This window comes from Homo sapiens, chromosome 12 (assembly GCF_000001405.40).
Source record: "Homo sapiens chromosome 12, GRCh38.p14 Primary Assembly".
NCBI classification, from domain to species: domain Eukaryota; kingdom Metazoa; phylum Chordata; class Mammalia; order Primates; family Hominidae; genus Homo; species Homo sapiens.
Genome location: NC_000012.12, coordinates 15,145,425 through 15,161,706, shown reverse-complemented (window position 1 = coordinate 15,161,706; position 16,282 = coordinate 15,145,425). Strand labels below are relative to the sequence as shown.

General features: G+C 37.4%; 1 protein-coding gene and 1 long non-coding RNA gene across 5 annotated transcripts in view; one reads left to right on the top strand and one right to left on the bottom strand.

Annotated features, from left to right (window-relative positions):
- Nucleotides 1-16,282, top strand: part of RERG (RAS like estrogen regulated growth inhibitor) — a 113,635-nt gene that overhangs the window by 59,711 nt on the left and 37,642 nt on the right. The gene's annotated exons all lie outside the window — the stretch shown is intronic.
- Nucleotides 6,424-9,784, bottom strand: RERG-AS1 (RERG antisense RNA 1). Its single transcript, NR_046559.1, has 3 exons — nt 9,637-9,784; nt 7,367-7,467; nt 6,424-6,511 (listed from the first exon to the last, which is right to left on the bottom strand). It is a non-coding gene; the product is annotated as an RERG antisense RNA 1 (long non-coding RNA).

The window sequence follows — 16,282 nt, the reverse complement described above, 5'->3', positions numbered from 1 at the left end:
GGCAGAGACTGTAGGTCTTGTGTATGGTTCAAGTCCAGGCTCCTAACATAGGTTCTGATTCAAAATAGGTGCTTGATAAATAATCAATCAAGTGAATGAGTGAGTCTCTAAAATCGTTTTCTAAAATGCATGTGCTTCCAGGAGAATTAATTGAGTGCACCAGCTACTCATGGTGAGTGAAGGGGATCTGGCTGGTTCCTGAACAGGCAAAATGTAAATGGGAAGAAGGAGGAAGGAAGGTCCAGAGTGTTTGGTGAACAGGTCTGTGCACTGTACAAGGGGCTTTCAGGAACTAGCTTATTATTCCTGAGACTGGAGAGGACCTAAGGAGAAGATAAACATTCTCCAAAGAATACACTTGTTGACTGATGTTTTCCTTGGGATGGTCCATATGTACAGATTATACTGTGTGACACAGTGGCCTACTTTATTACTTTATTTGTACTAGATAGAGCAAAACACTAAGTGATGCCCCTGTTTCTTTCTTTCTTTCTTTCTTTCTTTCTTTCTTTCTTTCTTTCTTTCTTTCTTTCTTTCTTTCTTTCTTTCTTTCTTTCTTTCTTTCTTTTTCTGAGATGGAGTCTCACTCTGTTGCCTAGGCTGCAGTGCAATGGCGTGATCTCAGCTCACTGCAGCCTCCGCCTCCTGGGTTCAAGCAATTCTCATGCCTCAACCTCCCGGGTAGCTGTGACTACAAGCATGTGCCGCCACACCTGAGTAATTTTTGTATTTTTAGTAGAGACGGGGTTTCACCATGTTGGCCAGGAAGATCTTGATCTCCTAACCTGATGATCTGCCTGCCTCGGCCTCCCGAAGTGCTGGGATTACAGGTGGGAGCCATTGCGCCCAGACGATGCCCCTGTTTCTAAGGAGTATTATTCCCTAAGGCTTTAATGCTTATTGAGCAAACCCTGATGTATTTTTCCAATTCAATTCTTACATCTCCGTCTCCACTATGCTGCCATCCAAGCTGTGGGGCTGCGTTAATTCTTGACTTCCAGCATTCTGTGTAATGCCTTCAAATGTCTTTGGACAAAGCATGATCATAATTAATATAATTATTTTTCATATGCAAAGTATTTTATTGTGGCAGTATCTCTTTTGATCACTAAAATTATCCTGTGGGATAAATAATTTAAATATTACTGTGATTTCTATTTTAGACATGAAGAAACTGAGATTGAAAGGTTAACAAATCTAAGGCTACACTCCAAATTCTGCATACCTTTTGCGGTGTGATTTCTTCTTGTTTCCTTTATAGATGGAGCCCTTAACAAAAGTTTTGAAAAGCCCTTAACAAAAGTTTTCTAAAAAGCCATGTTTCAGCGGCACCTGAGATGCTTTGCACCTGCTGCAATCCCTGTGTGCCTCATTTCAGCTTGTCAAGTGGTCGGTACCCGCGCATGGTTACTGTGCTGCCCAGCGAGGGTCACAGTGCTTTGTACTTAGAATTCGTGAAATATACACAATCTAACACTACTGTTTTCAGTACAATATCAAGACAAGGATTCAAAACAAAAAAAAATGACCAAAATGTGCACATATATATATGCACATATATAGAAGTGTACAAATAAAAACTGCTCAACTGTGGAGAACTGTACTTAGCCATTATAATGAAACAGATTTGCTGTTTTATACAAGTAGAAATTTGTTATAGATACTAAATATTCGTGTTCATTTTTCCCTCTATTTTCCAAAATGTATGATAATCTCTACTGCTTTCTTCCTTCTTATATCAACTATGGAATATCAAAATTTTCTTAATTGTCTTAGGCCAAGATGCATTAAATCTCACCCTTTTCCATTGTTTGGAAGATAAATTTGGTTGGGATTTTTTGTTGTTGTTTTGTTTCCATTAAGATTTTTTTGTTTGTTTGTTTGAGACGGAGTCCTGCTCTGTCGCCCAGGCTGGAGTGCAGTGGCACAATCTCGGCTCACTGCAAGCTACGCCTCCCGGGTTCACACCATTCTCCTGCCTCAGCCTCACAAGCAGCTGGCACTACAGGCGCCCGCCACCACGCCCAGCTAAGTTTTTGGTATTTTTAGTAGAGACGGGGTTTCACTGTGTTAGCCAGGATGGTCTCGATCTCCTGACCTCGTGATCTGCCTGCCTCGGCCTCCCAAAGTGCTGGGATTACAGGCGTGAGCCACCGTGCCCAGCCCTCCATTAAGATTTTTTAAATTGTATCAATAGATATAAATATGTCCAAATCAATAACTTTTATTTGAAAACTAAAAATCCTGAGAGGCCAAATACAATGTTTAAAATATATAGTTAAATCAATAATAATTCTCCCTTCTGTAAAAGTAAATAATTATCTTTATGTGAGAACGAAAAAGGTATTTCTGTACTAGTAAGGCAGCAAATTATGCAAAAGCATGAACTACTATTGTGGTTGTAGGCCACAAATGGTAGGGACCTATCAAGAGGACACAAGAACCAGCTTGAAAGGACTCTCCCTGGTGACTTCTGAGACAAAGTAATGTCAGTAATGGATTACAATCCATTGAACAAAAAAAGAATACATGGTTCCCTGTTGATATAAACAGTAAGTGTATAAAAAAATCAACAGGGAGAAAGACAAGTTCTTTCTTACAATAGAATATCAACCAATAAATGTAGAAGAAATGACAAGTTAGAAAACTATCATTCGGAAATTATCAAAATAATTGATTCAGGCAGGAGTCACCAGTGGAGGCTGAAACTAATGAGTGAAAGTGTGGTGAGGATCAGGATATTTACATAGTTTCAGAATATCTTCCACAAATTGCTCATTAATTGTCAGATAGAAAAATAATAACTTTACATTGGAAAATTCTAAAAAAATGCCACCTTAATAAAATAAAATAAAATAATGCCACCTTAATAAAATAAAGTTCATGTCACCAATGATGGGACATGAACCAACAACATATGCCTCCTGATATGAAGCACTAAGAAGGACACACATCGTTCTGTAGCATTTCTGCCCCAAAATACCTAATCCGAATCTAATTATGAGGAAGTATTAGACAACTGAGGGACATTTTAGTCTATCTCTCTTGAAAAACTGTGTACTCTTCAAAATTCCTTATACTCTGCAAAAATGTCAAAGATGAAATATCATTAAAAAATGCTGAGAGGCCAGGCACAATGGTTCACACTTGTAATCCCAGCACTTTGGGAGGCCGAGGTAGGTGGATCGCTTGAGCCCAGGAGTTTGATCCCAGCCTGGGCAACACAGTGAGACCCCATCTCTTAAAAAAATGCAAAAATTAGCCAGGTGTGGTGATGTGTGCCTGTAATCCTAGCTACTTGGGAAGCTGAAGTGGGAAGATCACATGAGCCCAGGAGGTCGAGGCTGCAGCGAGCCAAGATCATAACACTGTGTTCCAGCCTGGATGACAGAGCGAGATTCTATCTAAAAAAAAACAAAAAAACAAAAAAACTGAGGAACTGTTCCAATTTAAAAGAGTGTAAAGAGTTATAACAACTAAATGCTATGTTCAGTCCTAGATTAGATTCTGGACCAAGGAGAGGAAAGTAACTAGAAAGGGCATGATTGGGACAATTGAAGAAATTCAAATATAGACTGTGGATTAGATAATGTCATTGCATCATGTTAAATTTTCTGATATTGATAATTATACTTTTGTTATCCTACAAAATGTATTTATTATGAAGTATAGATATTGAAACACTTAAATGTAAGGAGGCAAAATGTTTCCAACTTATTCTCAGGTACAGAAAAATATGAATGTGTGTATATATATTTATTTATACATAAATATTTATGTATAGAGAGAAGGGAGAGTGAATGATAAAACAAATGGGAAAAATGTAAACAGTTTGTGGATCTGGATAAACAGAATATGAGAGTTATGTAATCTTTTCTCATAGCTTTTTTCTAAGTTTGAAAATATATACAAAAGAGTGACAAAAAAATGTTGAAAAGCAAAATTTTCTCATCAGTAAAGGCAGTCATTTACATTGTACTGTGATGAAAAAGAAAAGCCTGGCTTATTCAAATAAGCAGCCAAAGCTCTTATTTCCTAGTCATCAGTTATCTTTGCGTGCTTTGAAGTTGGAGTTCTCTTTCATGTTTGTATTGTTTTTATTTGTTTGTAAGTATAATGTGGGAACCAAAAAGAGTGAAAATGGGACACTCTGGTAAGTTATCTCTACCACTTTAGGGGACAGGAAGCAGCTGACAAGCTTTAGCACTACATTTTCATGGTTGTTTCCCAAGAATGGCCATAAATTACATCCTTCAAGTCAGTCCCAACTAGTGGGAATTCATATGAAAAATTACTTGCTGGTTCTCAAGCTTCTTGCACGTCCCTCTTGACATTTTGTCATAGGAAAACTGGGGGTGGATGGATTGTAAAATATTTCTCAACATTACAAAACATTTTAAAGCTGATACCAGACCTACACTCATATCTGCTGATTACAAATAATTCTAAGCTATTCTGGTATGCCCTGAGCATCTGTCTTATATGCAAAATAAGTGGCCTCTTCTGTTTTCCCCTGTCTTCTTGAACTGTCTGTCTCTTTTCAAAAACTGTGTATTCTTCAAAATTCCTGCAATGCCGAATGAAAAACGGAGGCCATCCACTACAGTGGAAAATGTAGAGCAACTCCAAGAAAAGAGGCTGGAAGAAAAGACAGGCTTAGAGATGTCTGACAGACTTGAAGATGGTTTCCATTTTCCCATTTTGCAAGAGGGGCAATGGATCCTCTAACAACAGAGCCTGAGTTAGTATGTTATCATGTATTACCTCGTTTAATCCCCTCAATATCTCTATGAGATAGGCACTATTTTTATCCCTATTTTGTAGCTCAGATACAGGCTTAGAGGTTTAGAGAAGTAAATAACTTGTCAAATGTGAGTAGTAGGGTTGAGATTTGCACGAAAATGCGCCTGACTTCAGGGTCTGACTTAAGCTTAAACTGCCTTGTTTTATTGATCATATTGATCACTCTATTTCTTTCTCCTGAGGACTCGCAAAGCAATGATAATACCATTCTGCTCTTGCATCATTTGTTGCACATTCTTGTTTAGAAAGAAAATACTAACAACTATTAGAGATTTTCTGAACCTAGTAATTTCATTAACAAGCATTCCCCAAGTCTACAGGGCAAATTTTTTGATACTCACAATGTTACTTCTTGTGAAAATTTTGAAGTGATTTCTGAATCATCAGAGAGATAGAGATTAAAGTGACACTGTTTTAAAAGTTGGTAATTATCATACAATTGCATGAAAGCTGATGTGGTATTTGTGGTAAACTTCCGTATTAGGATGGGTAAGCCTGTATGGCAGGGTTCTTAACCTGAACTCCAGATCCAGCAAAGGGTCCACAGGTAGATTTCAGGGGGTCTGTGAACTTGTATGGGAAAACATTTCATCTACATTTTCATGCACCCTTAAATGACATTTGGCACTGCCTTCCATGATGAATGTAGAAACAAATCACAGTGTTAGCAATACCTGTGACTTTGTCCCTAATAGAAATGATGGATATTTCCATTCGTATCAGTTGTTGCTGATATCTCAAAATGTTATTTTTCGTCATCATTAATGTGAAATCATAATTAATAAGCTCAAGACCAGATTATATTGAACATATTAATAAAGAATGTAATTACTATATCACCTATTTATTTTAAAAAATGTTTTTCTAACAGTATATCAATATTTATAAATATATATATATATTTTTTTATTATACTTTAAGTTTTAGGGTACATGTGCACTTTGTGCAGGTTAGTTACATATGTATACATGTGCCATATTTCATCATAGTTGATTTTATTTGTAATGACATATATTTTATATATATTTAAAAAGTATTATTATGAGAAATAGTTCAAAGGCTGTGCACAAATGGTTTACAGCACAAAAGGGGTGAAAGATCCAGCTCTATAATATAAACTTCATGGTAGCCCTAGTGGAGAATACCCTTGCTTAACAACTGGCTGTTTTCAGAGTCCCCTGGGGGCCCTGCAGTGACTCCAGGAGTAGAGAAAGGCTGTAAATGCTAGAACAAGATAATTGTCAGGTACTACCAAGAAGCCCTACCCAGCCTTCCCAATTAGAAGACAGGAGTCCCCCAATCCCAACCACTTTCAGGTCCTAGTTTCTGCCCAACCCCATTACCTGTTCTTCTTACTCAATTTTAATGAAAGCAGCTCTACTGGCAGCAACTTCATTGTGACCCCAGTGCTCTGGCAAGCTGGGCCTGTGTCAGCAGGCCACAGGGGTGGATGAGAGCCAAGACTTTTGTGATTGCCTCTACCCTCATTTTCCTGTGGAAACACAGCTCAGAAGGACTATGCTGGAGGGTTGATCAGCTTGGTTATGTATTTGCTTTGCGGAAACCTTAAGTTGTCCTTTTATGTGTCACTTTCTCTCATTTCATTTTTTTAATCCTTTATTTTCCAACAGGCAGGTTCTGGTCACACCTACCCAGGTGGCACCAGGTGTGTGCATGTTTTTCCAAAAGTTACAATGCAGCATAGACACTGGAAAATGAAGATGAAAAAACACAGTGGTGTTAGATTACTTCATATACTTCAACACCATGCCTGCTTTTTCCTTTTTTTAATTGCTTGTTTTATATTCTTTATTTAGTTTTTTCCAGTCTGAATATCTCTTAGCTGAGTTTCTTATCCCAATTAATCATTTTATACATACACTGGTTTCTTTTCCAAGTCTCTTTGTAAAGCAAGAATCAATATGAGGTGTCAGTGTCTAAAGCCTTCACACTTAGCAACTTAACATTTTAAAAAATGAAAATATATAATACTACAATTTCATTTAAATTAACTATTCTGAAGCTCCTCCATCAAATATTAGGAAAGACCCTTTTAAAGTTTAATACATTTTTAAAATTCTAGGTATGAAAATTCTGTTTACATAATAGTCTTTAAGTTGCTGTCTCACCTAAATAAGACACAGAGGCAGTGTTTATGAATATGATTGCCGAGTGAGATTGAGACAAATTTCAACCTACATTGATTGTCCTATTTGGCAGGAGACCAACGAGCTGCCACATAATGTACGCACCAGAAGACTGGCTATGTTCTTTGGCCATCAGCGGATGTCCATGGTTGCTGCCTATAATTGCAGTGTTTTTCCCATTCTGCAAATTTCTCATTAATCAGGTTACTTTAGCTATTTGGCCAAATTTTCCTCGAAGAAAATGAAATACAATCAATCCCTGATTCTTTTCTGATTATTAGAGACACTGCTCTCCTTCATAAGGAACAATAATCAAAGTAGAATTTATATTTGGCTTCATAATGCAATATGTGAGTTTTTCCAACAGATTTGCCCTCTTAATTGCTTTGGTCTGGCAAACTTTAAAAGGAACTTGCCTTACGTGGATGGCAGTATGAGGTTGTCCAGAACTGAACCGGGTGGTTGGCAATCTGAACAAAGCTTCTGTGCTTTATTGATTGCCAGGGAGACTCGGGGGCTAAATGGCAAGCCAAAAGACAAGGATTCAGAATATATAACTGTACTAGTTTGCTAGCACTGCCTCAACAAAGTACCACAAGCTGGGGGGCTTAAACAACAGAAATTTACTGCCTCATGCTTCTGGAGGCTAGAACTCCAAAATCAAGGCGTCAGAAGGATTGGTTCCTTCCAAAGTCTGTAAGGGAGGATCTGTTCCCTGCCTCTGTCCTAGCTTCTGGTAACCTCAGGCCGTCCTTGGCTTGCAGATGGTGTTCTCCTTATGTTTCCATATCATCTCTCTGTGTGTGTCTGTCTCTGTGTCCAAATTTCCCCATTTCATAAGAACATAGTCATATTTAATCACTTAGGGCTTACTCCAATGAAATCATCTTAGCTTGATCATCAACAAAGATCTTATTTTTAAATAAGGTCACATTCACAGATACTAAGATTAGGACTTCAGTGTCCTTTGAGGGGACACAATTCAACCCATAACACTATCTATCTTGAAAAATCACCAGAGAGGATAATTTATAGCCATTGGTAAAATTTATGCAAATCATACAATTTCCCTTCAGTCAATGCATTTATTCTGGGTGCCATATTTAGATGATAGGCTGCCAAAAGTAATGCACCGTGAATATTCTTTTTCTTTATATTATAAAAGCTATTCAATTACTCCTGGATTTTCCAGGAACTATGGTTCTCTAGTTCCTTATAAATCTCAATGGTATTTTTCTGAATCTTACTGCTTTCCTTTTATTTATAAATACTAGACTCTCCCACTTTAAGCAAATTTCTAAAGACTGGGGTAAAAGATCTCTTTTGTGAGCAAAGTGCATGTCTAGGGCCCTGTTATTTAAGAAATTTAAGATCATCAATTTCAAACATTCAAAGCCTATACTGCTGGTTCATATTTTTCACTATCCAGAACAGTAATCTTCACAATGGTTAGCTGTGTTCTCTAAAAGTCGCAGATAATTGTTATCACATTTAAAATCAAGCACCCATCACAACTCCCCAGTTCTTTCTTTTAGGAAAACCTAAAGAAACCTTGGATGACCTTAAGACTCTATGGAAAAGCTGGAAAAACACTGACCCAGAAAACAAATGTGTAACAAGTCACATTTTTTCCATTACTTAAGGGAAATTGTGGTGCGAATTTTTTTCTTAATCTCTCTGCTAAGTGTAAATATGTGACTCACCCGAACTACCTCATTCTTAGACCATAAATATTAGGAGTGATGACTTATAAGGGGCTCATGTTCATGTGTGGTAAGTAAATACTTGTCTGCACATATTAATTTAACAAGAAAATGGCATTTTCCTAAGTAGCATAACATCAGAAACAGTAGAGAATTTAATATAAGTAAAAAGCAGTGTTATATTTTAAGAAAATTACTATGATGAAAGAATTCATTTTTTTCAAAGAGTAATATAATAATATTAGGCTTTAATACCTAAGAACATGCATGCTAGATCTGGTTCCAATCCAAAAAAGTTCTATGAAACTTCAAATACCATGTGAAGGTTAACTTTTAAAAATACATTTCTTCAGAGCAAATTTCTATTCCTAGTCCATGCGAAACCACAGGGTGGTGCTCCAGCTGGACTGGTTTCCTCAATTCAAGTTATCCTTGTCCAGTTTCCTTCTTAGGGCACTGCTACATGAAAACCTGATGTGTTCTGTGTTCTTGCAGCAAACTCCTACTGTGTCCTATCTTGGCTCAGGCAGGACAAAATGAAGCTCTCCATCTCTAGGAGGTGGCTTGCTTCAGAGCCTTCTCTGTCCAAAACAAGAGTTTTTTCCATATTGTTTCTCTCTAGGCTTTTGAAATTAGAGGGGAAACACTATGGATAATAGCTTCAGAAAATATGAAAAGCTCACCTATTACAGCAGATGGGACTGAAGTATCAGTCCATATCTAAGGCAGGTGAATTGGTGCATTTGAAGCATTCCAAGTCAGTAGGACAGCCAGAAATATGAAATGAAAAGCACTAGTTTTCCTTAGCAATGAAATTTTGACTCCTATGACTTTGCTAATGCTGTGTTCTGCTTTCCTTTCTGCCTATTCTATTTGTACAACCTTCTGTGCCTTCCTCAGATGGCTTTCCAAAACATCTGTGGGCAATATTCCCTTCACTGAACAGCAATGGTACTTTAAGTGCAAAACAAAACAGCATTTACCTTTTGCAATTTATAGTTCCTGGGTTATTTCATGTGCCTTGTGGTTATCTCAGGAGCCCTTTATTAATCTCCGAACTGTAGGCAAGAAGGTGGTCTTGTTGTCATGGTAATAACTTCAGTACTTAGCACATGGAACGCAGCATTTATTGTAAAATACTTTTCCAATCAAATGGTTGCAGCAGTTTTAGAAGTCATAACAGTAAGGGTAGCATGCAGTTCATGAATTCCTTCATCAGGAGGAAAAGACTGACCTGATTTATAAAGGAAAAGGAAGCATAATAAAAGTGGAATTCTGTTAACCTAACCATATTAGTTCTCTTTGCTTAGAGTTAGGGGGTGTCCAATCTTTTCCAAGAAAACTTTGTATATTCTGGCAGTGCCCTCTGGTGGATGATTTACTATGATCCACTACCATTCAGTTCCTGGACATTACATTTCACCTGAAAGATTTCTACCTTTTGTTACCACTTAGCATTTTTCCCCCCATCTCAAGATGAATAGTGTTTTCTTTCAAAGTTTCTTGAATATCTACATCTACAATCTACAACAAATGCCACTGGATTGTGGTTTGTAAGGAATATCTAAGGTGAATTCCAGCAAAGTGAATATCAGTTTCTACCACTTATTACTTTCAAAGTCATTAAATTGCTAATATGGGTGCAATTTGGCTGTTGCGTGGAAACACTTGGCTTGGGTATGTTTATGTAAATGGTTCAAAGCTGTGGACTGTGTATCTGGCAAGCTGCTTCTAAGAAACAAAGGAGAAATAGGCATGTTTTCCATTTAAAAGACATGTGGTTCTTATTGACTTACCGAGATTGGTTTTTGTTTTTGCTTTGTTTTATTTTCAAAGTCAGTTTTCCACTCTAAGATTAAGTGTGTTCATTATAGAAAACGTAGAAAATACAGAGGAAAAAAATCACCCATAGTCACAACAAAACCAAGACTGATTTTGGATGTAGCCTACGGAGGTAGAATGCTCCCCTGGGGTAGATTTTAGAAACAGGCTGTAGTGGACCAAAGGGGAGCATGGCATTAAGTTTCCACAAGCTGTTTTCTGTATTTATAAAGTACAATAACAATATTGCATGTATTATGTACTTTCATTTTCTGTCTCAAATTAGGTATGGAGATTGCATAATAATAATAGCAGCCATTTATTTAGCACAGAATTTCAAAGCCTAACCCTAGAGTTGCCCTTTGCCTCCTGGTGAACAGCAGTTCAGCCCACACTCAATTCTTCCCTATAACCTCCCACATCTCTGCCAGGATTTATTCTTGTAATAGTAATAACTGTTGTTTAACAGGTCCTCATTACACAAGAGAATGCAGCGATTAATATGCAGCCTGTTTGAATTCCAATTCTGGCTTTTCCACCTAATAGCTGAGAGATCTTGGATGAGTAATTAAAGTCTCTGCTTCAGTCTCCTTCTTTGTAAAATAAAGGCCCTGCCACACAAGGTTTTTTGGAGAAAACTAAGTCCCTAGAACAGATCTGGGAACATAAATGTTAGTTATCATTGTTAACATATTACGATGATATATTAGACATGATACTAAGTTCCTTATTACGCCATTTACTCCTCATAACAATCCTATGAGTTAGATATTCTTTATCCCTGTTTCAGGTAATGAAAATGAAACAGAGAGCTCCAATGACTTGCCCAAATCACACGGCAAGTTACAATGTTGAGCCTAGATATGAGCCTACATTTGACGGTCTATAAAGTTTCAGCTCGCCATCTTGTTTTGGCTCTGATAGGTTAGCTATTATTTTGCTTGTTTGTTTAATTTGTATTGAAGTATAAAATATATTTAATATATAAAAATGCATATTACACAGTTTACACTGTGTAAATATTCCCAAATGAAAAACTCCTGAGATATCATCACTGCATCTTTACCAGATCCCATCCAAAGGTGACTACTAAGCTCCCTTCTAATATCATAGCTGTGGTCCAAAAGTGAGCAGTCTTGGCCTTGTACCTACTCTCCCTCCCCGTCCTTTCCCCCAGTAGCCTTCAGGGGGGTTCACAGACCAAAGTAGCATAGTAGGAGAACCACTGTCTATACCCTGCATATGCAAATGCATTCATCTCAGTGGGTTGTAACTCTCAGGAAGGAAGGATTCTAAGGCCATAGAGCGCAAAGGAAAGTATGACATGATCGATTAGTAATGTCTATCATAGTCACGAAACGAGGATGGTGGAGATCTGTAGGCTGGTCCTAGACACCATTTATGAACAGAAACAACTTTTCTTTAAAGTATTTTATTTTCTACCATTTCTAAATCCAGTATCCATGTGAATTGGCATGTTGGCATAATCATGCTGTTGGCTATTTAGTACAAATAGGCTAAATATTAACCTAAGAATCATCTATGTGCATGTAACTTTCTGCATTTGTCCAATAGATCTTTTGAGAGAAATTACTGGAAGTGGAATTCCTTTCATTAAAGTCTCCACCCTCTTCTATAGAAGTAGCACTTTTCCCCTCCAGTATGCAACACAGGTCACATTCTGCCATGAACTAGTATTGTTAATGAACATCTTTCTCCCCATCAGAACTGCAAAGCCCTTGAGTACTAATTCTGTCTTGTGCTTTCATGTATCATCCACCTCCCCTCCCACCAGTGCCTAGCACTGGTGTTTTCTTTGTTCATAGTAGATGTGGATACATTTTTTTGGCTTTAAATATAAAGATACATTTTACTATTAATATTTTAAAATATGTTAAGAATTAAGTATCAGAATTCAGTCTATATAAGGAAAGCCTGAGATGAAGTGATAAAAAATAGATGAAAAAGTCTTGATTTTTCAGAAAGAACAAATAAGCAAATAAACACAGCCCTGTTTTTCTCAGTCACTATTAGATATTGAACATTAAGAGTTAAAGGACTGCAGGCTGGGCGCGGTGGCTCACGCCTGTAATCCCAGCACTTTGGGAAACCGAGGCGGGCGGATTACGAGGTCAGGAGATTGAGACCATCCTTGCTAATACAGTGAAACCCCGTCTCTACTAAAGAATACAAAAAATTAGCCGGGCGTGGTGGCGGGCGCCTGTAGTCCCAGCTACTCGGGAGGCTGAGGCAGGAGAATGGCATGAACCCAGGAGGCGGAGGTTGCAGTGAGCCGAGACGGCGCCACTGCAGTCCAGCCTGGGTGACAGAGCTAGACTCTGTCTAAAAAAAAAAAAAAAAAAAAAAAAAAAAAAAAAAAAAAAACAGAGTTAAAGGACTGCAAATGAATTTAATGAAACTATTGCCCAAATGATTGATGTTCATGTACAGACCAAAATTTCAGTGCTAAATAGACATGTTAATAATGATGCTGGAATATACGAGTATTTAAAAATCTCCAAATTCCTGGGGAATTAGTAGTTGTAATAAAAGTGACTTCTTCTCATTCACTTCATGACTCCTTAATGTCTCTGCACTTGCTTGGTATCAGCGGCTTATTTAACAAGTCACTGCACATAACTTGTATTCCTTAATAATTAATACACTTAAAGTTTCCTATGCTTACATGGATAGAAATGTTTTCCCAGTGTCTTAAGTTTGATTCTTGCAACACTCATCTCTGTGTTCTTTCAGAAACAGGAGGCTCACTGTAGCTGACCAGCACTGGCATGGTCCTTCATTTGCTGTTTGTTTTTTAGGTCATTTCCCCCCCGCATTTCTACCTTCTTTATTCGCACCTTCTTTATTCACACCTTCTTGTTTTATTCCAATTAACATTCCCAATCTTCCTTTTGAAAATCCCAGAAGTCCCCATCATGGCCAGTCTGCCTAGCCTTCTGGGTGTCTTCTGACTTTATTACTTATAGTTCACTTGTAATTTGTTTTGTTTTGAATCCACCTACATACAGCCTTGTATTTTGGATGTTTTCTCTCTCTGGCTTTTTTCTCTCAGGTCACGTTATCTAAGAATATATTCCACTCACTCCCTGGGCTATAAGGATATAATTACACTGGTCAGAAAGACTCCCTGGCTTTGGTTTGCAGAATATGACCTTACATAAATATTATATATCAAAATGATTAAAATCTAGGTCTGCAAATGAACATCATTTCAAATTTGCAGTGTTTTCTTGCGTCTAACCACTCTGTAAGTGGAGATTCGAGATTTGGACACTCTTCCATGTTATTCTGGGAGAATCTGATATATGTTTTACATGTTTCATGTACATGGATTAATATTATCCATTAAGACTCACAGATGTGCTGTCCAATTCCTGAGACTTATTTTTGATTGTATAGAACTGGTAGGATTCCTTTGAATTTTAAATAAACATACATTTTCCCAAGTAGTAAACAACTCCATGGTCTCTCTCTTTTTGGTTCAACATCTAAATACATAAATTTCTTATAATCTACCTTTTAGTTTGCTCAGCTCTGATCCTTAATTGAACATTCTGGGTTAATATTGTGTTTGTTGTTGAATGTTCCTAAACAAGTTGTCACATTTTGAAACAAGTGTTCTAGATTAGTGGGCATAATTTCAGATACATGTTCTCTATGTATATGTATTTTAAAACAAAGTTTCAATTTCCTTGCTGCCCTCGGTATTCTTAAAAATAAATATACTTATGTAGAACTACAGTTAGAAAGTGATTCCAGTTTTTCTCTATCTTTATTCAGATTGTTTTGTACTGAATTAAGTAAAAATTTTTCCCCCAAATACCCATCTCATTTGGCTTGTAAAGACTGTTTTAGTGAAAGAATGTTACAAAATGTTTTTTTGCTGAAAGCAAATTTTACAACAGAAATGATGTTCATTTGCAAACCTGGATTTTAATCATTTAGATTTCTAATATTAATGTAAGGTCATATAATTCTGCAAACCAAGGCCAAGGAGTCTTTCTGGTCACCAGTATAATTATCAGTTTCATCCAATGTTTACTAGGGGTTGGTGAATTCATTTTGTTAAAATGAGATCTGGCATGAACCTTTACTCCAGGCTTAACTGAAATAAACATAGCCTTAAATTTTTTTTTTTTTTTTTGGCTTCACTGAATTAGATTTAGAAGCTGGACACAATCAAAAGCTTTAGAATGTCAAAGAGAAGGCGTTTTTGAAGGAGATGTAGGCTTTCCTTTTAAGAATATTTGAATAAAACCTAAATAAAAATGAAACCAAAGAGAGGGATTGTTAATGTAATATTTCCAAGTTGATGTGCTTAAGGCTAATCTGCATGCGTTTGTACTGCTCTCCAATCCAATGCAAAGGCCAAATCGCTGAAAGTAAACAGGACTTGGGAAGCTGCCTGCTCAGGAATTCAAAGACTAGCTTTCATTCTGCGCTTAACTCACAGTTGTCAGTTTAGATGGGTCCCATGCTCTGTGCCTGGGAGAGAGTGATTCACTTTACATGCTTTGGTTCTAATGCAAATGCAAAGAGTCATATTGCACCTTACACTATAGTACAGTAAATTGAATAGCCTGACCTTTCAAATTGACAGTCCCAGATTTGATTTCCAATAGGGCAGCATGACTAGCTGTGAGAGCATAGGTTAGCTACTCAAGCCATGTAAACCTCAGTTTCCTCATCTGTGAAAAGGGAATAAAATACCGACCTTATTTTGCAAGGACATTGTATGGAAAGAATGTATAGAGTGACTATGTAATTTATCATGCAAATCAGAAGTTTTGAGAGTGAAAAGGGCATTATTAAAAATTATGCTGGGATGATGTCTGTAAAATATGGCTATCCCAGACCAGCCAGGAATATAATATAAAATAACATAATACAGTATTACTATAAATTATTACATTAAATGTAAAATACATATCATGTTTACCATAAGATAAGGAGCCTGGCATATTGTAGCACTTGGTTTCAGTTCCTTCATTTTTTATTTTGAAACATTTAAAGTTTATTTATCACTTTTGTGTATTATGGCATTTGATAATCACAACAGTCTTGTAAGGCATTTCATTTTATCAAGTGTTAAGACTCAAAAAGCGTTACTACTTTTCTTGAGATTCTAAAGAGAATAACAGAGCTAGGAGAAATCTAGTTTTATCTTTCCAAGCATAGTGTTTTGCTTTTCCCTGTACCACACATTTCTCCCAAAGGGCTTGTAAACACATTATCTATGCAATTATGGGTTCATGTGTCTGGTGCAAATTTCTCAATCAACCACCGTAGGCATGGAAAGCAACTGTAACTGTACTTTTTCTTAAAATGAACTAATTTCTATCTTAATTTTTATTCTGTGTTCTGATATGAAAGTTGAAATAGTCCATTTTACGTGAATTCAGCCTAAAACTTCAGATTTTTGTTAGTGGGTTTACGGCCAATTCAGCCACCGTGGGGTTCTGCTGTTGCTTCTTTACTCCCTGGTGTGAAATCTAAGATACAAGGGCTTACGCCTAGCACTGGAAGTCTTCATCATTTGGTCAGGCACAGCTGCCCCTCTGTGCTGCCATCCACTGAGGCACCTGAGCACACCTGCTGTTGAAATCCCCTTGTCAGATTGCAGCACGTGCACAGGTCCCGTGACTGATGGCACACCTGCGACACTCTCAGAGCCAGGGAGCTAGCATCGGACACACCCCGGGCCCCATTTGCAGAGTGGCTCTGCCACCCTGTTTGAGATCCATCTGCCTGGCCATCCCATGAGTGGTCCTTATTGTTCCTCCTTAA